The following is a 26,286-nucleotide window of genomic DNA, read 5'->3' on the forward strand; positions in this document are numbered from 1 at the left end:
TGCACTCTCAGCTGCTGGGCCTGATCCAGCAGGTCCCAGGTGGTGCCAGCACCTCTGATTTGCAGAATCTGTGGACCTCACTCAGAGATACATGGATCTGATCTACACTGTGGTTTCACTGAGGTACCTCTACTTATGGCAACTCCTCTAGTGACCCCAACGGGCTCCTGGCCAACGTCAACTTTATGGCCAACTACAGCTTCCATAGACATTTTTAGTGCATCATCTCATCCAGCTGGCCCACCCTATACCTTCCCACTTGACAAAACTGCACAGGGAGAAAGGCAGACGGAGGCTACATGGCAGGAGGTACCAGTCACCAAGGAGAAGAGACAGGGATAGAAGTCTCTCTCTCCATAGGTTCATTCACGTACAGACTCTAGCCAAGCAAATACATGGCAGGAAGGGGAAAGAGTAGCCTATGGGATGGATTCTGCAGTCTGCAGGAGTCTGTCTTCCTGTCATGGACACATTACCACCATCACCACCGCGTTCCCACTGCAGCCCCCCAGAGAGGGGAACCAGCACTCCAGCAGCCTTGGCAACAGCCTTCGAGTCTGCCTATGGATGCTGATGATGTTGGTGATGAGGGGGCTAAGGGGAGAAGCAGTGCAAGAGCGACTGTCTACTGAGTGCTTGCTTATTACGGCAGGCTCCAGGTTAGCCATCTGACATATTTAATCTCATTTCATCCTTACAACCCCAGCAAGTTAAATGGCATCAACTCCATTTTGCAGATCATGAAATTGGGGCTTGCAGAAGTAAAACTGTCCAGGGTCACAAGGCTATAGTAAACAGAGGAGTGGAAATTAGAATCCAAGCCTGCATAACTCTTTCCTCTATCTTCCGCCATCTCTCCACTTTGAGACCTGAGACAATATTTTGTTTTCCATGTGTCTTTGCAGGAAGGCAAAAAAGATTTCCATCAACCACAAACATATATTTTGGGACCACTGTGTATAAATCTCTGTAGAATAAGGCTTGACGCAGAGGTCGCACCTCCTCCTTATAACTTGGCTAGGATAGGAATACAAGTAATGGCATTGAGGTTGGGTGTTCCACGTGTTAGGTGTCAGCACCTTCCCTGGTCTCTGTTCTATTAGCAGTGTTTTACTTCAACCACTGAGGGCCAAGGTAGATCACAGGCAATCTCAGGCTCTGCCTGTGCTGCTGATAACCTGTGCCTACTGCTCCAACTTCATATACATATCACGTGCATTTTATACACACACACACACACACACACACACACGTGACACACACACTATCATAATTCTCCATTGAAAGGGCCCAGAAGGAATGACATCTCATCACAGTGACAACATCTACTGGCTAGAAATTGGTTTCCAAATATTACCGGAAGCTCCTTGGTACTAATTTCAAAGGCAGGTATTTGGAATATCCTATTGTACCAAGAGGTAAGAAAGTATTCAGAGAATAATGGAGAGATAACAAAAGAACATAAACAACTTAAAGGGCTACCACAGGCCAAATCTGCGACAATTTGAGCACAAATATGAATGAATGACTGCAACTAACTAACTAACTCCAAAGGGGAAGGGAGAGAACATTTATTTCAGAAGAATGCCAATAAAAAATGTACAAGAAATTGGATGACCACCATTTGCAAACCCCAGCCTCAAAGGGGACTCAGGCCATGATCCTCAAGGATGCTGAAAGCAGGGGATGGAAAGACTGCCAGGGCACAGGATACTCACAGGGTCTTACACTGGCACCTCACAGATGACTGACAAATTAGAAAGGGAAAATGTACCCCTGCAAAGGAGAAATCTGGCAGTCAGCACCTTAACCGAGAGTGCAAACTGAGCCTCATGAGTAGGGTGCCAACCTGGGTGGTTGTGCCCCCAAATGCAGTAAAAAGAACCCCACATGCCCTGTCCAGCTATTCTTGCCCAAACTCCAGAACCTGAACCTACGCATAAGAGAACAGTCAGACCAAGAACGCAGGTTATTCTATAAGACACCTGACCTGGACTCCTCAAAAATAAATCGTCAAGGTGATGAAAAAAAAAAAAAAGAAAAAAAGGTGTAAGGGATTGAGTGTAGAGGCAACGAGACAGGCAACAACTTGGATGAAACGTTCTATCCATACGACAGAATATTCTTCTGTCATAAAAAGGAATGGAGTGTTCATCCATGCCGCGATGTGAATGAACCTTGGAATTCCAGGTGAAAGAGGCCAGACACAAAAGACCACAGATAGTATGATACCATTTATATGAAATGTCCAGAAGAGGCAAACCCATAGAGACAGAAAGATTAGGGGCTGCCTAAGTCTTCAGGTGATTCTGCTTGGGTTGATGAAAATGTTCTAAAATAGATTTGATGATGGTTGTAAAACTTTGTAAATATAGTAAAAAACACTGAATTGTATACACTTTAAATGGGTGAATTGTATGGGTATGTGAATTACAGCTCAATAAAGCAGTTTTTTGGTGGGGGAAGAGAGAGAGAGAGAGAAACAACAGAGACACAGCAACCAGTGTATCTGTGTGTGAACCTGAAGGGATCCTGGACTGGGGAGAAAAGCAGCCATAAAAGGGATTTGGGGGCCAGGTATGGTGGCGCACACCTGTAACCCTAGGCTTTGAGAGGTTGAGGTGGAAGGATCGCTTGAGCCCAGGAGTTCTAGAATTCACGAGCTATAATGGTGTCACTGTACTGTAGCCTGAGGTACAGAACAAGACCCCATCTCTCTCTTTTTTCTTTCTTAAAAAAAGGCATTTTTTGAGACAATTGAGGAATCTGGAGTGTATATATTAGGCGGCATTATTGAATTAATGTTTTCTTAAATATGATAATGGTATTATCATTATGTCTTCTTCCTGGAAGATACATTCTGAAATATTTGCATTTAAAACAGTAAGTCAGAAATGTGGTTTAAAATAATCTAGGGGGTGGAGGGCAAGGGGATTGGGGGAGGGGATGGGAGCACAAATAAAACAAGATTGGACAAAGGCAGGTAATCGTTGGGCTTAACAGATTTGTGGTACCTTATTATATATTCCCTCTACTTTTGCAAAGGTTTGCAAATGCCTATAATAAGAGTATTTGTTTTAAATTTCCTTTGCCTGTGATTCCAGAGAACTCTTCCCTTCCATTTATTTTGTAAAGGCCTGCCCAGGGGTCAGGACACCCCACCTGGGCATCTCTGCATCACCCTGAGGCCTGGCAGGGGGTGATACCACACAGGAAGTGCTTGGTAAACTGGAGTGGGTCATTCACAAGTGATTCAGCAGGCCCCCGACTCCAAATGTCTTCTCAGCCCATTTCCTCCCCCCCTGCAAATAATCTGGGTCCCATCCCTTCAGCAGGTGGGATCCTGTACAAAACCCCTCAATGGCTTCCCAGTGCAGTTAGGATAACCCCTGAGCTCCTCGTGGCAGGCCTGCGCAGACTACCCCAGCCTCATTTCCCACCCTCCCTATTCCTGCTGATTTAGTAAGCCACAGCCACACTGGGTCTCTATGCGTAAACACGGTTCCCCCTTGCTGCCTCCAGGCATCCACGATGCTATTCCCTCCCCTGGAAAGCTATTCTTTCCCCACCTCTTTGCCAAGTGAAACCCTTGCTCATCATTCCAGTCTTAGAATAGGTATCTTTTCTTAAGGTACCTTAATTCCTGACATTTCCAGCACCAGGCTAGGTTCTCACAGCATCCACTTCCTCCAGCCTTTGTCACTGCTGAAATTGCACCATTATTTATCTACTGTTTCTCCCACACCAGCCATAAAACTCCATCAACGCAGGGCTATAGATATCACCTGTGTCTCAGTGCCTGACAAAGACCGAAATTGCTCAATAAGAACATGTGTTATTGAATTATTGAGGTAGGTAGGAGGTGGTGGAGATTAAACATCTCACCTCTTTCTCCACTTTGAACTCCATGCTCCAATGGGTCCCTCAAGTTTCCAAGCCCTTCGTCCCATTCTCTTTCCTCTCTCCTGTGTCTAGAGGGTCTTCCTGGGAAGTTCGTGAGAAGCCAGAACAATTGAAAGGTGGATCACAAAAAGGCCCAGGCACTGGTGGGCAGGAAGGGAAGGGACCCACTAGGACGCGATTCTGCAAAGGCAGCAAGACTATTAGCCTTTGATCTAGAACCGGAAATACCATTTGACCCAGCAATCCTATTACTGAGTATACCCAAAGGAATATAAGTCATTCTACTATAAAGACACATGCACACGTGTTTATTGCTACACTATTTACAACAGCAAAGACTTGGAACCAACCCAAATGCCCATCAATGATAGACTAAAGAAAATGTGGCATATATACATAATGGAATAGTATGCAGCCATAAAAAAGAATGAGTTCATGTCCTTTGTAGGGACATGGATGAAGCTGGAGGCCATCATTCTCAGCAAACACAGGAACAGAAAACTAAACACCGCATGTTCTCACTCATAAGTGGGAGATGAACAATGGGACCATATGGACACCGGTGGGGGAACATCACACACCAGGACCTATCGGGGCGTGGGGGATAAGAGGAGGGAGAGCATTAGGACAAATACCTACTGCACGCAGGGCTTAAAATCTAGATGACAGGTTGATAGGTGCAACAAACCACCATGGCACATGTGTACCTATGTAACAAACCTGCACGTTCTCCACATGTATCCCAGAACTTAAAGTAAAATAAAAAATAAAAAAAGATGATTCGCCTTTGATCCCTCGCCTCTGCCCCCGAATCAGGTGGGCTGCATTTACCCAGTACCTGGGCCGACTGCCCCAGGGCTGCAGAATTGAAACCCTCCACTGGGTGGCACCAGATCACCACCTCCTGTGCCCACCCATCCAGGTCTCCAAGGGCTGAGTGAAGGAGCGGGGCAGGCACCCTCAGGAACTGTGGGGCACCCACTATCAGTCCTCCCCATGACATAGTATGGTGGGGACACGTTACTGGTGTCCGTGGAAAGTCCCTTTCCCCATCCCCCGACACCCACCCCCCAAAATTCTTTTTTTTTTTTTTTTTTGGAGATGGAGTCTCGCTCTGTCGCCCAGGCTGGAGTGCAGTGGTGCAATCTCGGCTCACTGCAAGCTCCGCCTCCCTGGTTCATGCCATTCTCCTGCCTCAGCCTCCCGAGTAGCTGGGACTACAGGTGCCCGCCACCACGCCCGGCTAATTTTTTGTATTTTTAGTAGAGACAGGGTCTCACAGTGTTAGCCAGGATGGTCTCGATCTCCTGACCTCCTGATCTGCCTGCCTCGGCCTCCCAAAGTGCTGGGATTACAGGCTTGAGCCACCACGACCGCCCCCTCCCCCCAAAATTCTAATCTTCCTGATCAGCTTGCTCAAGGAGGGGCAGCTAAGCAGGGGGCGGAAAGAGATCACAACCGGGTTTTGAGATCTGGGGCTTTCCAGTCTAGGTTTCGTCACTGTAACCCTGAACATGCCACTTTATCCACCCCACATGCCGCATCTCAAGTGTTCCTTTGCTCATTTATTCATTTATTGATGTTTAAGTGTAGTTATCATGAGTGATAACTGACAGCAGGGATGGTGAATCTACTCGTCTGCATGCTGGAGTGGGGTCTATACCTGGGGACCCTTTGTTGGTAGAGCTCTCTGTAAACACCAAACCTTCTTAACCTATTTGTATGTTTAACTCTTGGCACCTTTTTGGATAACCAGCCTGCAGGCTCACAAACCAGGACAAAAAGTAGTAGCTAGCTGGGCGTGGTGGCCGGCGCCTGCAGTCCCAGCTACTCCAGAGGCTGAGGCGGGAGGATTGTTTGAGCCCAGCAGTTCCAAGCTGAGGTCACAGTGATCTACGATCACCTCCATGAACAGCCAGTGCATTCCAGCAAGGGCAACACAGGGACACCCTGTTTCCTAATTATTTTTAACTTAAAAAAGTAGTAGCTTTTATATACAAATGTTACCCTTTCAAAGCCTAAAAGAATAACATTCTACCTCCTGATCCTGGGACTGGTGAACAACGCACGTTCGCCCTCTCCATATACTACATGATTTATTTTTGTTACCCTGATGACACCTCAGCTCCCAAGGTTACCATCCAAAAAGAGTCTGACTCAATCCGCCTGTCTTTAGGCAGCCACTATCTACCCGGGCCTGCATCTCCAGAGCTCGCCTCTCCTGAATTCCCCATACTGGTACCTACTTTGTAGCTTTTTTTTTTTTTTTTAAGTAAAAAATTGTATCTGCCTTCTATAAAAGTAAAATGTGTTCATTTTAGGAAATTTGAAAAATAACAACAAGTGTAAAGAAAATAAAATGACCCATGATCTTAGACCAAAGGTTCTCAACTTCAGCACGATTCATGTTTTCAAGTTGAGCACTTCTTTGCTGTGGTGTCCCATGCCTTGCGAGATACTCAGCGTCATCCCTGGTGTCACCTACTAGTTGCCAGTAGCACCCCCCCTCCCCAGGCGTGACAATCCAAACGTCTCCAGACATTGTCAAAAGTCCCAATTGATAGCCATGATCTCAGACGCAGACAGAGCCACCGTACGTTTTCCAGTTTTCCTTCTAGTCCTTCTTCCTAAGTATAGATAAGTATAGATTTCCTTCTGCCAAATAAGACTGACTATATATGCAATGTGTGTCCTACTTTTTTTTTACTCTATTTTATGTTGTGAGTACTTTCCCAAATTATTGCATTTTCTTCAGAAGCATGCTTGCTAATGGCTGCATAGTATCACTGGCTAACCTCCAGCGCCATCATCCCTTTTACCCATCCCCTGTTGCAGGACAGTTAGGCTGGGTCTAGTGTTATGGTGCTGTAAATAATGTGTGAGTGAATAGCCTTGCACATAAATCAGAACCCCTCAAGATACCCCAAGAACAGACACTAGACAAGACATCCCTGTGTCGATGGCTTATAATGCACAGTGTTAAATCAGCTTCTGAGATATCAGTTATACCAGTGTCCATTCTTTAAAATAGATGAGTAACAACTTCACAGTATTTCAGAAGGGATTATGTTTTATCAGGGAAGAAAGAATGATTTTGAGGATGGGGAGCTGTTTCTCATATTCTTCCTGATGATGCCCAGGGTAACACCAGATTTCTGTCATCGTTGCTGAACCACATCAGAATTTAGGCTGATGTCTTCCAAAACAGTCTCAAATCAGGAGACAAAAGTAAGTTTCACTTCAAACAGGATAACAGAATCTGTGTTGAGAAGGCAAGCTGGGAGCTCAGCAGGAAACATACAAAGCCACGGTTGATTCATGATGGGTGACATGAGCAGAGGAGAGAAGGAGACCGATAGGCCAGCTGTGTGCTACTGACTGCTAGTCCACTGCTCAGGAGTGGTCCTCAGACCTACAGCATCAGCGTCACCTCGGAGCTGGCTGGAAACCCAGAACCTCAGCCCCCACCCTAGATCTCCTGGATTAGAATCTGCATTTTAACAAGAGGCCCAGCTCACTCTAAGTCCATCAAAACATAAGAAGTCCTGACATACACTGAGGTTCAAATTCTTTTCCAGAGTTAACTGAACTGAATCGAAGCCCAACACTCAGCATCCTAACAGAACGACTTAATAACGTTCCCCCAAATTAACACTCTTGTCCATGATAAAGCTGAGTGTCACATTTCAGCTGATTATACTAACAGCCAATGGGTCTCCAGATGTTGCCAAATGTCCCTTGATTAAGAACCACGGTCTCAGATGCAGACAGAACCATAATCAATCCTCCGGTTTATTTTTCTTCCAGTCATTTTTTCCTTATGTTAAGTATAGATTTCCTTCTTCCAGTGACTGGTACATAGAATCCACTGCACACGCAGCTACTGTCATCATCAACATCATCAATATTATCATCATGATCATCATCAATGATCATTATTGTCATCATTTTCATTATCACCTCCAGGATTCTGGCATTTTAATTCCTGGAAAAGGCTGCTGGAGTTTGGAAGCTTCATTAAGAACATCTTCTTGATAATTTATGGGTAGACTAAATAAGGCTAGTCCTCAGTTTTTTAGGCACAGCTTCACGCAACTAGAAAAGCCGTAAGCACTGACATCAAGGTCCAGTCTAACCACTGAGTAATCCTGTGAGCCTGCACAGGTCACAAAACCAGTTGGAGCCTCGGTGACCTCATGCATACCTTGAGTTGTTACTGACGCCTAACTCACATGTTTGCATAAACATCAAGTAGGATGGAGACTGAGAAAACAGTTTGGAAATCGTACAACATACTCCCATTTCCTTCCATCTCATAGCTCTCTCTATGCTACTTTATCAAATGAGATGATCAAATTTTACTAAATTCCATTCTGGGTAATCTGTCCGTGGGAGGGGTAGGGTAGAGAAAAGGAAAATTGTCTGGCACATCCATACTCTTAAAGTGGTGAGAAACACAGGCTTCAGGTATCAGGAATCCAGACCAGAGAATGGAACTCTCTGTCCTAATGGTTTCAACCCCATCACCGTCAACCCCTCCTCCAAACCACCCTCGACTTCTAGAAAACCAACAGACCACAATCATCCAACCCTCTCCCCATCAGGGAACACTGAAACAACCCAGACACAGCAACCACTTTCTACCTGGGGGCAGAACTGGGCTGCAGCCACCTGGACTCCCATGATGGACTTTGTAATGCAGTTTCCTAGGCCTGCAGAAGCAGTGACCGCTATACCTCCCTCAACAGGACCCCTTACCTGGGAATCACCGGTGGATTTTCGGACACTCATGTGGGCAGTCTCTGGAGGGTGCGCTGGGGTCCCTGATGCGTGGTATCCATTCACTGCAGGGACAGAGACACGGCTCAGATGCTGTGTGGGCCACAGATGGGCACCCCCGCCTTTCGTCCACTGCAGCCCCTTTTCCCACCTCCTTCCTTGGCTCTGAGAGGTCTTGCGTGGCGAAGACCATCCCTCAGGATCTGATCTTATCTGTATCTGCAGAGCTGGAAATGGGTTGAAGGCATCTCTCTAATCCTCAGCACCCAAATTACTGAATTCTTAGGGGACTGAGTTTCTTTTTTAACCCGAGAGCAAAAGGAATGTGCCTAACAGGAGGGGAGGTCACTATGGTCCAGCTGCCTTTGCTACAAATACCACATCAGTTGTAGTTACAAATGCCAGTCACGGGTCCAATCTCCCTCCGTAGAGTCGGGGCGGGGGGCTCTCCACCACCTTCCAACAATTTCCCTCAGCTTTCTTAGTAACTTCTCCACCCTCAAACTCAGAGCAGCGGAGTGTGAATATACTAGAAAGAGGACTGGATTGACTGGTCACCGTGAAATTAGGCTCTGTCAATTAATAGTCAGGTGATCATATGCACTTCATTCTTGAGTCACCGTTCTCCTAGAATTAAAAATACATAATCTGGCTTGGAGCTGGGGCTCATGTCTGTAATCCCAGAACTTTGTGAGGCCGAGGTGGGCGGATCATGTGAGGTCAGGAGTTTGAGACCAGCCTAGCCAACATGGTGAAACCCTGTCTCTACTAAAAATACAAAAAAATTAGCCAGGCGTGGTGGCAGGCACCTGTAATCCCAGCTACTCGGGAGGCTGAGGCAGGAGGATCGCTTGAACCCAGGAGGCAGAGGTTGCAGTGAGCTGAGATTGCACCACTGCACTCCAGCCTGGGCAACAAGAGCAAAACTCCATCAAAAAACAAAACAAAACAAAACAAAAAAAACACATTATCTGAGGCTCTAAAATTCTACCCTTATAACTTTATGTCTCTTGGGGGACACTCACTCATGCTCCCAACACTTGCTGATAAACCTGCTCTCCAAGGAACAGGGGGAGCCCTGATATGTAGTATCTGTCGATTTCTGTGCCAAAGACACTCCCAGCATGGACGGTTTCAAGCCCCAACGCCGCTACACGCACGCTCCTGACATCACGAATTCACACTGGGACCCACGTGATCTCGGTTCCCAGGTGGTACCGCTCTTGTAGAAATATAACTACATAAGCTTAGACGAGCAGCTTCGCCTCAGTGACCCTCAGCTTCTGTACCTGTAAAATGGGGATAATTCTACGTATTCTCCTGACCTACTTTGTTGGTGTGAGAATCCAACAAAGCGATAATAGCAAAAGTTATAAGTAGTCATAAAGCACTTCATTTAAAAAAGGGAAGGATGAAAGGCAGGGTGCGGTAGCTCACGCCTATAATCCCAGTACTTCGTGAGGTGGAGGTGGGAGGATCGCTTGAGTCCAGGAGTTCCAGACCAGCCTGGGCAACATAGTGAGACCCCATCTCTATTTTTAAAAATAGAAAAAATTTAAAAAAAATTAAAAAGGGAGGAATGGCCAGGGGGCAGTGGCTCATGCCTGTTATCCCAGCACTTTGGGAGGCAGAGGGAGGACTGCTTGAGCCTAGGAGTTTAAGATCAGCCCGGACAACACCGTGAGACCTCATCTCTACAAAATATATATATTTTTAAATTAGCTGGGTGTGGTGGCTCATGTCTGTAGTTCCAGTAACTCGGGAGGCTGAGGTGGGAGGATAGCTTGAGCCTGGCAGGTGGAGGCTGCAGTGAACTGTGATTGTACCACTACACTCCAGCCCACACTTCAGAGTGTGACACCCTGTATCAAAAAAGTGGGGGAGCAGAGGCATCCAGAAGGGGAAGGTCTTTGCTTTTGTTCCTGAATTGAGTCCCCAGGAACCACAAGCCTGCGTGATCTCAGGAGACCAGGACGATGCGCCATCCCGTGACCCAGGCTTCAAGTAATTGCCAATAAATATATACAATGCAGGTCAGACTGGAGGAAGATCTACACACTGATGTCCAACTCATGATTCTTCTAGAGAAAACTCTATAGCGTGGCAGGAAGCACAGGAGAATATGGCTGAAAGTTACCACCAACACCTACTCATTTGGAGCGACGAGGACTGGAGGCAAGCGTTGGGCAATGGGATGATGAAGCCCGTTCCACGGAGAACCCGTCTCCTGCTCAGGTGGTGCCCCGTTCTCCACCACTTGCAGTGAACACTCCAGGGCCAAGCAGGGCCACATGCAGCTGAGTGCCTGTGCGCAGCTGGGCTTCTCCCCCAGCTACAGGGTTTACCCCCCGTTCCAGAATAAGGTGGTTGCACACATCCCAAGGAAATAGCAAGCTGATCCACAGCAGGCCCCTAGTACAGTAGAAGCTTGAGGGAAGCAACAAGAAACAACAAATCCACCCTGCAGGGCCAGCTACAAGCCTGGGCCACACCCACATCCCTCAGGCAGCTGGCCAAGTGCAGATACCATCCACCCGCTATGAAGGCAGCTTAAGAGGCAAGGACAGGATTCCAACAGCATCAGGGAAAATGCTGAGGGGGCCAAGGAGAATCCACTCTGACTGGCATCAAGCTATGCCAGGAAAGACATGAGCCTGATGATAAATACACCCTACAACGAGGGCATGAGAGTGGAGAAATTTTATCAAATAGCATAGAACTATCTGAATAAAACACAGATGCTGAAAAACCTAAAGACAACAGAAGAAAACCTCAGGACACTGCTTTCAGTTTAGGACTGATTAACAGACAAAAACAAGGAGGATAAAGAAGACCCGAATAATTTAATTTAAAAGGCTGATTGAAATAGATGTAGTAAACATCATATCCTACAAACAAAGATAACATCTTCTGCCAGGAAGCCCTGGAACATGTAAAAACTTGGTCACATTTAAGCCACAAATAAACTATCAATAAATGGCAAAAGGTATAAAAAACACAGGCCACATTCTTTGACCAGGAAAGCAATAAAAGTAGATATTAATAATGAAAGAATAAATATACAAGATCCCCATCCCCCCAACTCCTAAACACTTAGAAATGTAAGAAACTGCCCTCTTAAATAATGCCAGATCAAAAAGGAATTTAAAACTGTAATTACACAATATTTAGAAAATAATAAAGAAGAATATATCAAAACAAATGGGATAAAGTCTGAAGTATACCTGGAGGAAAATCCACAGCCTTAATTATTTCATTACCAAACCCAAAGGAACAAAAATAAATGGACTAAACATTCAACTTAAGATCTGGGGAAAAAATTTTAAAGGCCAATAACATACGCCAAAAGAAAACAGGAGAACGGAATAGAAAAGTGGTAACAGAAATTAACGAGTCAGGAAACGGGAGACCATTAGCAAACCATGGCTGGTTCTGTGTGTGTGCATCACAACAATAAAAACAGCAGATAAGCCAGGGTAATTTGAGAGGGAAAGAGAACACAAATGCTCAGAATTAGGGATTAGAAAGAAAACAATGGCACAACAAATATAGTAGAAACTTTTTTTTTTTTTTTTGAGACGGAGTCTTGCTTCATCACCCAGGCTGGAGTGCAGTGGGCGATCTCGGCTCACTGCGACCTCCGCCTCCCGGGTTCAAGTGATTCTCCTGCCTCAGCCTCCCGAGTAGCTGGGATTACAGGCGCCCGCCACCATGCCCAGCTAATTTGTGTATTTTTAGTGGAGACGGGGTTTCACTATGTTGACCAGGCTGGTCTCAAACTCCTGACCTCAAGTGATCCGCCAGCCTCAGCCTCCCAAAGTGCTGGGATTACCGGCATGAGCCACCGTGCTGTACTTATAGTAGAAACTTTTTAAATGCAAGAACATATGACTTATAATTCTGTATCTTCAACACCAAACCTTCCATGAGATTCAAATTATCAAAAGGGTTTCAAGAGATGCCAAAAAGAAGTGAAACCTTTGAAAAATGACCTCCCCGCAAAAGGCACTGCACCCAGATGGTTTGATGGGCAAATTCATTCACACACTCCAGAAAGACACATCCATGCATAGAAACATGTGGCAGGCTTCCAGGTCTATTTTACAAAGTCAACATGACCCTGGTCTTAAAATCAAACAATACACAAGGGAACCATGTTTAGTCTGCTTTCGAAAATGAAATGCACAAGTTTTTATCTGAGTAGGTAATAAATCTCTATCTTTGATAATGCTGAGTCCCCATGAACCAAGGTTGTCCCAGCTCCTGAGGAGACCCTGACTCCCTCCCTCCCCAGACCCTCCAAATGCATGCCCAGGTCCTGCCTCTCCTCTGCCCCAGTCTTTCCCCACACTTGCAGCCGCCAGGAACTGTCTAAAGAGGAGACATTTTGCCCCTAATCCAATCCCTTGTTCCCACTTCAGTTCTGGTCTGTCAGCTGATGGCTAATTACTGCTCATGTCAAAACAATTACGAGGAAAGAAAACACAGTTTTCCATTCGACCCTTTCTCCCCACGTAGCAGCTCTCCTCGGACACCCTGTCTGGCTGCGTTATCACTTGAAGTCTCCCGGGCACATTCAGAATACGTCTCAGTGGAGATCTAGACAGTTATAGCCCACAAGATCCTGGCAACCCTCACCCACGGCATTCCTCATTGCTATTCCCTGTCCTGGGGGCTCCCGGCTCACCCAGGGTCAGCCACAAAACAAATGAGGCGAGAAGTGGGTGCTTCTGGGGCCTCCAGCCTCTGGGGGAAGAAAAATGAAATTGGTCAAGGATCGCTCATAAAGGGAACATAATTCAGTCTGGAGATACAAGGAAAAAAAAAAAGCAAATGTCACACTCATCTGTTTTTAAGATTTTTAAAAAGGGAACTAAAAGCTCTATCTAGTTAGTAACCTTAGCAGCTTCAAATATAAATAATACACACAGGCACCCACACACTTCATTTCCCTTATAGGCAGTTAAGCAACTTGAGAGGGCTTAGGAGGTGTCTAATGAGAGGAGGGGACAGATATTTGGGTAGAAAAGAGGAGGGAGGTCTGGGTAGGGAGAAGTCAACAGAAACAGAAAAGAAAGGCGAATATGAAAAGTTATCGAGAAAGGCCAAGCAACAAAGAAGCGCCAGCAGCTCCGCCACCCAGGGCTCACCCCCACCCACAGCTCGGCTTCCATATCTCAGTACCGATCCCTGAGGGAAAAAGTCGCATCCTCAGAGCCCTACTCTCCAGGTTCCTGTTCCCTGAGGAACCCAAAAGAACATAAGAAAATCAGCCATGAACACTCTCTTATTATACCTCCTGTAGGTCTGGCCTAATTTCTCCTCTCTCTGGAATAAACATAGTAATTTCACTCCTCAAAGTTAGGAAACCTGGTGACTGGGAGCGGTGGCTCACGCCTGAAATCCCAGCACTTTGGGAGGCTGAGGAGGGCGGATCACTTGAGGTCAGGAGCTCGTGACCAGCCTGCCTAACATGGTGAAACCCCATCTCTACTAAAATACAAAAAATTAGCCAGGGATGGTGGCGCACGCCTGTAATCCCAGCTGCTTGGGAGGCTGTGGCAGGAGAATTGCTTGAACCCGGGAGGTGGAGGCTGCAGTGAGCCAAGATCCTGGCATTGCACTCCAGCCTGGGCAACAAGTGCGAAACTGTCTCCAAAACAAACCAAAAAAAACAAAGTTGAGGAACCCCGGAGTGCTGAAGCCCTGGTTCTTGAAATCCTCGCTTCCCTCTTTTCCTCTTCCCCTCTCTTCTTCCCTCCCTCCCTTCCCTTCGGGCTTCTTTTTCCTTCCTCCCTTCCTTCTACCCATCCTCCTTCCCTCCTTCTTTCTCACCCCCCCCTTTTTCCTTCCTTCCACCCGTTCTCCTTCCTCATCTATCACATATTAAACATAGTACAGCCTAATGTTTCCCCAGGTGTGTTAAACAGGATAGCAATTCTGCCAGATGTGTATTGTAAGTGTTATGCAGTGATAGTAAAGGGTCAGTGTTACGGTCCAAAGAATTTAGGACAAACACCCCATTATTCAGATTGAGTTTATTTACAGTAGGCCTTTTAGAATATGCTGACATGCGCTTGAAATCTCAAACAAGGCAACAGCATGCAGCATCCTTCCGCGCACACAGACGCAGAACCCGTTGAGGGAAATACAGCAGGGCTACCGTGAAATCCACTTTGGGACACACAGTCATGGCCACAGAATGCAAGGTTTGAAGTGGGGCAGTTCCGTGCTCATCCGGTCTGATGACATAGGGCACAATTACAGCCTCCTTCCTCCCACCACATCCTGGAAGGCCTCGCAGGTTCCTTGGTCACCATGCTCACCTTCTCAGGAGGATCCACTGTCCACCATGGCCCATTTAGGGGAGCAGTTTTACATAAATACCTTTCTGTTCCAGAAATTTCTCTCTGGCCACCTGGTCCTCACTGTCTCTCCTAGTTGTCTAAGATGTGAACTGCGTTCCCAAAGACAGACTGATAAAAGATTTTCCCACATGGTTGTGAATAGTGAAACACCTGTGGCTGCTTTCCAGGACATCAGAGGTTAAACAGGCCTTTGTAAGGTCCCAGGAGCCTCAGCCAGCAAGAACACTGGTTCTAGGGGAACATGCACTTCTTCCAGCAGAAGGTGTCAGGGCCTTCCCTGGAGTCAGGGGTGAGGTCTAAGTCAGAGTGCTGGGGAAGCTGCTTTGAACCTGAGACTGGCTAATTTCGCAAGAAGCGAGGGTCTTCCTTTGCTCCTGCAGGGGAGAGGAGAGCTGTCCCAGGCTTCCTGATCTGGAGAAGAAGGTGTGGGCGAGGGTGAGGCTCTGGGTTCAGGAGCCCCCTCCCCAGAGAGCCCCTGCTCAGAGGAAGCACAGCTGCCTCCCTAACCATATCCCTGGCCGGCTCCTCAGGCTCAAAGGAAGGTCCTCCTTGCCCTTCAGCCTCTGCAAAGGCATTCACTCTCTCCCCTTTAATCTAGGTTCCCTGAGGCTACTGGAGGCCTAAGGATGATCCCTCAGTGGGCTGAAGCCCCAAGGCTGAGCAAAGCCAGATCCTGAACCCATGTTTCCTGAAACACTCCCACAACCGCCCACCAGGACAACCTCAAAAAATAATAGATTTCTTTTATCCTTAAGAAAAACACGTAAGTTCAATGCATATCCCAGGCCCAGAGGCTCAGAAAGGTATTCACTTTCCACATTTGCACTGTTGACACAAAAGCCACAGATGCCTATTTGAATTTAAACAAATCAAATTTAAATAAAATCTAAATGCAATATGATTTCCAGGACTGGATCCAAGAACAGAAAAAGGACATGAATGGAAAAACTCATGACATCTGAATAAAGTCTAACATTCAGTTACTCGTAATGCACGATGTCAATTTCATGGTTTTGACAAATGTACCGTGGTTATGTAAGATGTCAACCGGGAGAACTGAGTACAGAAGGCACAGGAAGTTACTGTCTTTATAGCTTTTCTGTAAATTAAAAATTGTTCCCCAAATTTTAACAAGGTATTAAATTAATGAAAAATTCAGCTCCTTGGACATACCAGCCCCATTCAAGTACTCAAGAGCCACACATGGCTAGTGGCTACCATATTGGAAGGCACAGAGAAAGAATGCTTATACTGTCACAGAGGGTTCTACTGGACAACACTGCCCTGTACTGTCTTCATTCTACCCAATGACTCATACATGAAACTCCCAGCATCTCCCTTTTCACTCATTTTCTTTCTCTTTGCCTGTTACTATTTCTCTCTACAAATCAGTATTTCCACACTGCACGTTAAGCCCAGCCCAAAGAGGACTTTCAATATTTGCAGCAGTTACTGAATGGCGTCTTAGGTGTTCTGTTTTGGTTTAAAGTTTATTTCTTACTCATGCGGGTCTCACCCAGAAAGCCTGGCATTAAACACCTCTAGTAAAGCTACTGAATAAACACAGCTTCCATAACTCTGGTGATATTAAAGGATGGAATGCAGGCAAAGTCCCCAGCCCAGGTCTGATCCTAAGTAGCACCCAACATTCAAAGACTGGAGTCTAGTTTGTGCGGGGGTGGGGAAGGGGGGGGTTGGGGGAGGACTCTAGGCATGTTTCTAGAACTCTCTTCCCAGTTGGCAACCTGGCTGCCTCTGCTTACCAGTATCCAACAAACCTGCACTAATAAGAATGAACCAGCTCTGTGGGTGGCCCTTCAAACTCTCTCTAGAAGTTAACAAAGCTACAACACAAAAGTAAAGCTGGCTGGGCATGGCGGCTCATGCCTGTAACCCCAGCACTTTGGGAGGCTGAGGCTGGAGGATCACTGGATTCTGAGTTTGAAACCAGCCTGGGCAATATAGTGGGATCTTGTCTCTATGAAAAATTCTTTAAAAATTAGCTGGGCAAGGTGGCATGTGCCTATAGTCCCAATTAATCGGGAGGCTGAGGTGAGAGAATCCCTCGAGCCCAGGAGGTCAAGGCTGCAGTGAGCCATGATCACACCACTGCACTCCAGCCTGGGCAACAGAGCAAGACCCCACCTCAAACAAACAAAATAATCCAAAAGCATGCATGGATGGGCAGGGCCTCGTTTTATCTCTCTCCAGGCCCTCAAGTTTATGAATGGGGAAAATGAGGCCTGGCAAGGAGAAACATGCCCAAGGCCCCAGTTTAACATTTGTAATTTCACAAATCTAGGATGCCAGTGATTGAGGCCAGCAGTGGCTCATGTCTGTAATTTGGGTAATTTTGGGAGGATCACTTGAGACCAGGAGTTCAAAACCAGTCTGAGCAATATGGCAAAACACTGTTTCTACAGAAAAAAATAATAATAAGAAGAAGAAAATAAAATAAGAAAATTAGCGGGGTGTGGTGGCACACGCCTGTAGTTCCAGCTACTTGAGAGGCTGAGGCAGGAGGACTGCTTGAGCCCTGGAGGAGGAGGCTGCAGTGAGCTATGATCATGACACTGTATTCCAGCCTGAGTAACAGAGCAAGACCATGTCTCTAATAAACTAGTATATACTATTGATTGTAAGATGCATCTGACTTCCAAGATATTAATATGTCAGGGGAAAATGTATGTCTCAGAATCAATGACACAGGACTCTTCATGCTGACGTAGGGAGCTGCTGCTTCTTGCTTCAATGGGCCATGGTCTGGGAACCCTTGAGCAGCGCTGAACTGAGGCTCTGGGTCACTCTAGAACTGAGCTTCCCCACCTCGGCACTAGTAAACATTTAGGGCCAGGTGATTCTTTGTTGTGAAGACTTGCCTGTGCATTGTGGGATGTTCAGCAGCAGCCCTGGCCTCTACCCACTAAATGCCTGTAGCCCCTCCCCCCGGTGCTGGCAGTCAAAAATATCTCCAGACATTGCCGAATGTCCCCTGGTAGGCAAAACCACCCAAAAGAGGGAGGAAAGCTTAACACATATGTGGTATGTTTCAAACAAAGAAACAAAGCACAAACGAACTGAGTTAAATAGGTTTCTTCATTTCAGGCCTTCCTGCAGTCTTCAGAATGCTAATGTGCCTGTCCTTCTTCATCCTCCTTCATGGAGCACGGATACATCTGGGATCCCAAGGATTCCACCTTAGGAAATACTACCCCAGCACCCTGGGGATGGGGGCAGAGGGGGACAGGAGTTGTCAACACACTCAGTCTAGCCTTGGCCATGCGGGCAATTCTCATCTCTATATCTGACCTTCTCCACCCATCTCCCCACCTTTCTCAGCCCCCTTTAGGGGCCCAGCACACAGTGCAGCGCTGGACAGAGAGAGGCTCTTGATGCACCTGTAGGGTAAAGAAGGGAGCCTGTTAAACCCAGGCCTCTAAGCCAGGGACCGGAGGCAGCTCCTGTGAGCATCCCTTCTGCAGGACAGCCCCCATCAACAGCAGAGAGGACAAGATGCTGCCTGTGGAGGGTCCCAGGAGAGCAGGCTTTGGAGAAGTGACCCCATGACTCAAAGGGCAAGTCTCGACCAGCCTCACCAACGGGGCAGGCTGCGAGTCACACGTGCTGTCTCTACACATCCGAGCCTCCCTCTGCCGGCCTCCCTGTCCTGTCCTCCTTCACCGACCACTCTGGCTGGAAAAGACAGCTGGGTTACCTTTTTAGTGTCTGGCTGGCCTGGAGCCAGCCAGGAAAAAGGACACACCTTGCGTCATTCGCACTGGCATTTTGATTGTTTTAAAAAAAAAAAAAAACACAAGAACAACATTGAAAGAGAAGCCAGTGGGCTCAGAACTGCCTGCTGTCACACGGCAGCTACAGTACGAACGGGCCCATTTCTGGGGACTTGGTCTGAGATGGCAGCACTCACTGTCTCCCTAGGAAATCCGTCACAGCTGCCCCATGTCCCTCCCACACAGGGGGTTCCTTTCTTATTTTTTTAAAAATTTAATAATATAAATATAAATAAAGTGCTTTTGAAAACCTAAAATAATTTTTGATAGAAAACACCCACCTTCCTATCACCTCTCCCACGCCTCAGCTGATTTTCTAGAGGTAATATTTTCCCATCTTTTCCAGTTTTGAGCTCTTCTGCTGGCAACTGTCATATGCCTAAGCAATATGCTTTGAATGTGCACTTTCATGTCTTCAGGTCTCAATGCTAGACAATATCCAAAGACTCCCTGCTCTGAAAGGTGAGGATCTGGCCACTCGCTTTGCGTCCCACCTCCCTCTTCCGATCCAGTATTCCAGAGTCCTGTGATTACCTTTGGTCCTTCCTGTGGTTCCCTGTGCTGCTTCAGGTAAACTATTTAGACCAGGGATTACTTTTTCTTCTGAAAACTTTACACAGGCTCTCACCTCCCTTCCACAGAAGCTGAGGATGTCACGCTCAAGGCATTGGAAGATTAAATTCCCAGCCCCAACCACAACTTTGACTTTCATGCTTTGCTGCCAGATTGACTCCTGAAGTCGAAAACCAACAAGTGTGCTCCACACACCATAGGATGGTGGAGACATTGGTGAATTAGTTCAACACGGAAGCCAGGCTCTGCGGACTGAGGATATCACAAAAGAAACAGACAAAGTCCCCACCCTCAGGGAGCTTACAGTCTAGCATGGGAGAGTGAAGGTCAACTAGGAACAGGATGATGGGGACATTAAAATAGCATGCGGCTGAGATCTAAAGTGACTGCATGAGGGCTCAAAATTGAGTGGTCAGGGAAGGCTTCTTGGAGGAGGTGACATTTTTAAAAAGCCACATGAAAGGAGATGTTGTTCTCCCTGCTGATGGGTCCCATAACCTGCCTTCCAGAATCTCAGACCTAGATGTCTCCCAAGAGGCCCCTGAACAAACCTCCCACCTATTATAGGAATGTCCATTTCAGCCAGGCGCGGTGGCTCACACCTTTAATCCCAGCACTTTGAGAGGCCAAAACAGGTGGATCACTTGAGACCAGGAGCTCAAGACCAGCCTGGCCAACATGGCGAAATCCCGTCTCTACTAAAAATACACAAATTAGCCGGGTGTGGTGGTGCGCACCTGCAATCGCAGCTACTCGGGAGGCTGGGGAACAAGAATCCATTGAACCCAGAAGGGGAGGTTGCAGTGAGCCGAGACTGCACCACTGCACTCCAGCCTGGGTGACAGAATGAGACCCTGTCTCAAAAGAGAAACAAACAAACAAACAAAAAAGAACGTCCATCTCAACTGCCTCTGCTTGATTACCTTTGCAGATGGGGAACTCACACCCTCAAAAGGTCTCCCTCACACTGTTTCAGGTGTTTTATTTGAAAGCTGCCTTGTAAACATCTACCTCCTTTTAGCTTCTACTCCGTGATGTCCACAAGAGCCACATAGGGTGGTTCTGTCCACACTTCAGGTCTTCCTGCCCCTGACAGACAGGAAAGAGCTCTGACACCTCACCTCCCCCAGCCATCTCCTCCCACTAAGCGCCTGAGGAGGAGTGTGCAGGAGGCCACCAGAGCTGCTGCTGGCACTGCCAGGGAGACACCAACCTGCTTGGCAGCAGGCCTAAGGGACCCTCTCCCAGGCCCAACCCCTCCCTGGGTTTGCTACATCAGCCAGGTTTAAGACCCAGGACCCATCATCTCAGCCTCTCCACTGAATGTGGCATCAGGGCCCTCCCAGTTGCCCCAAAGCAGACAGCGGACATTACCTGTTGGAGGCAGAGAGCTCCTGTGAGAGCCAGGGCTGGCTGGAATCCCAGGAGAACTGCTGGGACGTTCCCAGGTGGTCTCTGGTGAAAGAAGAGCAAAGAAAATCACTTTGAGAATGTCACAGGGCAGAACCTGAGTTTCACAGAGCAGAAGGAGATGCTCAGAGCTGGAGAAAAAGAGAGACAGCCAATCGCCCTCCTCCCCAACCCTGGCCAGACAGGACCCTGCTTTCTGCTCCCATATCCATCCATCTCCCTTCCTGGCCCCTGCCCCCTTCCACCATCCCATGACCACAGAGCTTGTTTTTGCTGGGGGCCCTTCTTGATGAGGCTGGGGCCAGAAGGAGATGGACTTCCTGTTGAGATGTCAAGATCCTCTAAAATATCCTCTGCCCCAACCTGCCTCTTCATTCACCCCTACTTTGTCTCGGGGCTCTGGACTCTTCTCCTGGAACCCTGAAGTTGCCAACCAGGTATTTCTCCCCAAATGTCCACTGTTACCTGAAACTCCAAAGCACAGAGGTGCAGGAGCCTGTAAAGAGACAGGGGCCCTCTGCCACCTGGTGGTGACTTCCAAGTTTCTTCCTGATTTCGCAGTTCTAAGTCTCATTTGAGCTGTAACTGCTGAATTTGCCTGGTCACCTCTCTCTCTTCCAATGCCCTGCTACAGGCTCTAATCAGAAATAAAACTGGCCGGGCACAGTGGCTCACAACTGTAATCCCAGCACTTTGGGAGGCCTAGGTGGGCAGATCACTTGAGGTCAGGAGTTCGAGACCGGCCTGGCCAACATGGTGAAACCCTGTCTCTACTAAAAACACAAAAATTAGCCAGGCGTGGTGGCACGTGCCTGTGATCCCAGCTACTCAGGAGGCTGAGGCAGGAGAACCCTTGAACCTGGGAGGCAGAGGTTGCAGTGAGCCGAGATTGTGCCACTGCACTCCAGCCTGGGAGACAGAATGAGACTCTGCCTCAAAAAAAAAGAAAGAAAGAAAGGAAAGAAAGGAAAGAAAGGAAAGAAAGGAAAGAAAGAAAGAAAGAAAGAAAGAAAGAAAGAAAGAAAGAAAGCAAAGAAAGCAAAGAAAGAGAGAAAACTAATACTGCAAGCTATAGTATTGTCCCCCAAACACTACTTTACCCATTTCACTGCCATGAGCAGAGACTTCTTATGAAGTTATCTAGTGATAAAAATAATACTTTCTCACTACATACAATTTGATAATGCAGGAAAACACACAAAAATAAATATCACCCATCATCCCACCATTCAGAGGTCATCACCATCAACATTTTGGTATCCATATGTTGATTTGTTTTCTAAGCATATGTTTCTCTTTAAAATGAGACAAAATCAAACTATAGATTCTTTTTATGTATAAATTTTTGTGAATACCTTTCCAAAATCTGTCCAGGCACAGTGGTTCATGCGTCTTATCTCAATACTTTTGGGAGGCTGAGGTGGGTGAATTGCTTAAACTCAGGAGTTTGAGACCAGCCTGGGCAAGATGGTGAAACCCCATCTCCACCAAAAATACAAAAATTAGCCAGGTGTGGTAGCACGTGCCTGTGGTCCCAGCTACTCAGGAGGCTGAGCTGGGAGGATTACTGGAGCCTGGGAAGTCGAGGCTGCAGTGAGCCATGATGGCGCCACTACACTCCAGCCTGGGTGACAGAGCAAGACCCTGTCTCAAAAAATGAAAATAGGCCGGGCGCGGTGGCTCATGTCTGTAATCCCAGCAATTTGGGAGGCCGAGGCGGGTGGATCACTTGAGGTCAGGGGTTCGAGACCACCCTGACCAACATGGTGAAACCCGATCTCCACTAAAAATAACAAAAATTAGCTGGGCGCGATGGTGTGTGCCTGTAATCCAGCTACTCAGGAGGCTGAAGCACGAGAATCGCTTGGTCCTGGGAGGTGGAGGTTGCAGTGAGCTGAGACCATGCCACTGCACTCCAGCCTGGGTGACAGAGTGAGACTCCATCTCAAAAATAAATAAACAAATAAAATAAAAATAAATTTTAAAAACTTTCCAAAATCACTGAAGGGGGCGGTATAGCAAAGTAGTTAGGCTCTGTTTAGTGTGGTGATTCTAGACCCAGACTGCCTGGGTTGGAATCCAGCTCTGCCTCTCACCACCACTATCCTTGGCCAAGCTACTTATTCTCTGTGACTCCCTTTCCTCCTATGTAAAATGAGTTCAATAAGGTGTCCACCCAAGGGAGATACTGTACCAATACCAAAGGCCCACATACATGCCTCTAGCGCTAAGTCATTTTTAAAGTTAGTCTGATATGAGGATATAACATTATTTAGTTAAAAATTCCATTACTGAAAATTCAATTGTTTCAAACAATAAAAACAAAACTGGGTTCTTGACTCAACTTTGCTCCTAAACTACCGTGCAGCCCTAGGCAAATCGCACCACCCTTCTGGTCCTCTGATGCTTCATCCAAAATAAAGAGGTTCGGCTACTTGGTCTCGTAGGCCCCAATACTCCCGCTCTCTAGGTGTGATTGGTGGTCTCAAGGCCCATGGTTTGGGTTTCAGGAAGGGTGAACCTGGACTCCAGGGGCAGGCATAACAGGGGTAATATGGTCCCTTCATGTCTTAAGGGAGAGAAAACAGAATTGAGGGTGATCTGGAAAGCAGAGACGGTGTGAACATAAACCAGACAGTAGTAGGGTCTTTTATGAGGAGTGACAAGGAGAGAGGCTGCCAGCAGGCTTAGGAGCTTCTCCAAGGGACCCACTGGCTGGCAAGAGCAGGAAGCCTTGGAGAACTTACTTCAAAGACCACTGCCCTGCTTAGGGCCCACGTCATAAGCCATTCATACGCTGAGTGACCTCTGGAATCATCTGAACTCTATATTCTGTTTTTCTCAACTATAAAATGGGGATGAAAATGGTACCTAAGTAGGCTGGGAAAGAGCATTAATTGGGTTCACCTGTACAAAGCACTTAGGATAACATCGGGCACATGGTATGTGCTTTCTCAGCACTAAATAAAACAGACAGACAAGCCCGGTGGAGCTTCGATGAGCAAAAGCAGCGAGGTGGGCATCCCCAGGAGCAGATGCACCATCCAGCCTCAGGCTCCTTCCTAGGCAGGCTTCTCTTCTCTCCTGCCCGTTGAATCAGCCCTGCCTGGAGGCCGCACTGTTGCCTTCACATCCACAGAGTCAAGACCGGGCTCCCCTCTCCACCCTCTCCTCCGAGTCTCCTGGGTTCCCTGGCCCCTGGACAACCAGGGACAGGGCTCACTCACCATCACCAGCTCCACCCTATGTCCCATCCCTCATATCTAATTGGTTCCCAGGGCCTGGAGATGCCCCTCCATCACGTTCCTCTTGTCTTCTCCATGTCACTCCAGAGCCAGTCTCCCTGCCTTTTGAAATCCGTCCACTCACAGCTAGTGGACCACTCACCCTAGAGCCCAGCTTTCGCCGGAGGTCACTTCACAGCGAAAATCCCTGGCTAGCTCCTTTCCAACATGGCACACGGAATCAATTCCGAAGTCCACTGGCCTCCTGGCAAAGTGCTCCAGGATCCCAACCCTGACTGCATCCAGACTGACATCCCACTGGCTTCACTTCAGGCCCAGTTAACTTGCCTCGCCGATCTCTAAATACGCCTTTCCCGTATTGTTCACCCATACCTGCCGCCTCCTGCTCCCCCATCCCTGGATATCACAACCTTGTTCACTCATCAAGTCTCAACTAAAATGTCTCTTCCACCATGCAGCCTATCAAGATTGCTCTTCTTCCCTGCAAAGAGTTCTTCCCCAGACTCTCTAGAGTGGGTGCTGTAGTGCACCACCCAAATCTCTCTAGCTGCAGAGGCTCATAGCTGAGTCCCTCTCAGGGAACCGCCCTTAGCCAAAGAGAGCTGCCGTGCCCAAGGCTATGCCTAGAGTAGGGGTGCAGGGTGCACATCTAATGACTGGGGTGAGAGGGGATCAACGGCCCACCAATCCCCTTGTCTCAAATCAAACAATTCTGAAGGCCCCTCCCAGCTCAGAGCTCCCCACGGCGCTGCCGAGGCCTCCTTGGTGGCCGCATTGCAATGCTGCTTCCTTCCTTCCCCGGGGGTTGCTCCCAGGAGCACACACCCTACTGAAACTCCTGCATGTAAATCTGCCTCAAGTCTTCTTGAGAACCTGACCTAAGTCCTGCAACACACACATTCCATCCAGCTTTTTTCTAGGAAATCAGCACTTTGTCCATCCCTCAGACAGCTCAGATCCTAACCTTGACACCTTATCTCCTTGAGGGTCGAAGCCACGGCTGGTTCGCCCTCTCAAATACGGCACCTGGCCTGAAGGATGCAAGGACAGATGGGCCAACAGAAAGACGGACATTGTGACAGCACAAGAGAGATTCCCACCTGATGTGCTCTCCAGGAATAAACAGCAGGGAAAAGGTCCCAGAAAACTTTCCCTTTGTGCTGCTGCCACCACCCCTTTGGTGGCTGACACCATTGACCTTATTTTAAAAGGAAGTCCCACCAGCTGATGTGCAGACACCACCTTTGATCTTCTGGTTGGGGCAGAGGGTCACAATTCATGCACTGACTACTCCTTCCATCCTTGCACCCATTCATCCATCACTGTTTGCCTACTACCTGCGAGCCATCACCAACCACTGCGGACCCAAAATAACATCTGGACTATTGAACAGAGAAGCTGCTGGTCCCCGTTCCTCTCCCCATCCCCCATCCTTGAGCCCTCCATGAAGGGAACTACCAGTACAGAGGCAATCAGAACAGCAGCCAGCAGCTCCGGGGGCTGCAGGAGGCTCTGAAACCCTAGGTGGACGCTGGCCTGCAGTCTGAATGCTGCTGTCCATGTGGGGACCCGATGGGAGGCCCCTTTCCCTGCCCTCACTGGCCTGGTCAACTCCCAGACCCCCCACAAGCTAGAGTCTCCGTAAGTACCATATCCCTCCCCTCTAACCTCCAAATGGGCCCCATCAGGGACGATGCAGCTGCCTGAAGGATTCAGCCCAGTCCATCTCCTTGTCTTGGCGAGATCTGACCAACCCATAACACAAAGACACTGTGAGCCTGGGGCAGGGATGGTGCTGAGCCAGGCCAGGCCAGGCCAGGCAGACATCTGGAGAGAGCCACTGGGGCTCTGGCTGGGTGACCTCACCAGCAGCAGGACAAGTCACCCCAGAGGACCATACTACCCACAGGGAGGAAGCCGTGTCCAGGTCTTTTCCAATACAAGATTCCCTAATCTGCTTACAACACATCTGGCTCCTTGACCAAGTCACAGTAAGACTGAAGCGGCAGCTCCAGGCCTCAAGAGATGCTGGATTGAGACCCTTCTGCATTCTCTGGACGTCCATCCCTGTGGTCTTAGGTCATCCCGGATGACTGCCCACACTCTACTAACAGAGCCATGGCCACACAGGCCCCAGAGGTTCTAGGAGGAACAGTGCGGTCAGAGTGGAAGAAGTGAGATGTGCCCCGGGGAGCCTCTTCCCACCCCACCTAATTC

The 26,286-nt window shown here is 47.9% G+C and overlaps 1 protein-coding gene across 12 annotated transcripts in view, besides 1 other annotated feature; it reads right to left on the reverse strand.

Annotated features, from left to right (window-relative positions):
* The window catches only part of GAS7 (growth arrest specific 7), a 288,001-nt gene that overhangs the window by 50,410 nt on the left and 211,305 nt on the right, over positions 1-26,286 (reverse strand). For 11 of the 12 annotated variants that reach the window (NM_201433.2, XM_011524044.4, XM_047436955.1 and 8 more), the window contains 2 exons: positions 20,789-20,869; positions 8,662-8,747 (listed from right to left, as the gene is read on the reverse strand). In NM_201433.2, the coding sequence (NP_958839.1) occupies positions 8,662-8,747; positions 20,789-20,869 (167 nt within the window). The remainder of the gene's footprint in view (positions 1-8,661; positions 8,748-20,788; positions 20,870-26,286) is intronic. The other variant, XM_047436958.1, reaches the window with a different exon arrangement.
* Positions 20,135-20,636: an enhancer, noted in NCBI's record as "H3K4me1 hESC enhancer chr17:9884467-9884968 (GRCh37/hg19 assembly coordinates)". NCBI's record gives its function as "activates a minimal SCP1, AML or CMV promoter by ChIP-STARR-seq in primed H9 embryonic stem cells {active_cell/tissue: H9 hESC(primed)}" and the evidence as "EXISTENCE:reporter gene assay evidence [ECO:0000049][PMID:30033119]".

The sequence above is a fragment of the Homo sapiens genome, chromosome 17, assembly GCF_000001405.40.
Source record: "Homo sapiens chromosome 17, GRCh38.p14 Primary Assembly".
NCBI lineage: Eukaryota > Metazoa > Chordata > Mammalia > Primates > Hominidae > Homo > Homo sapiens.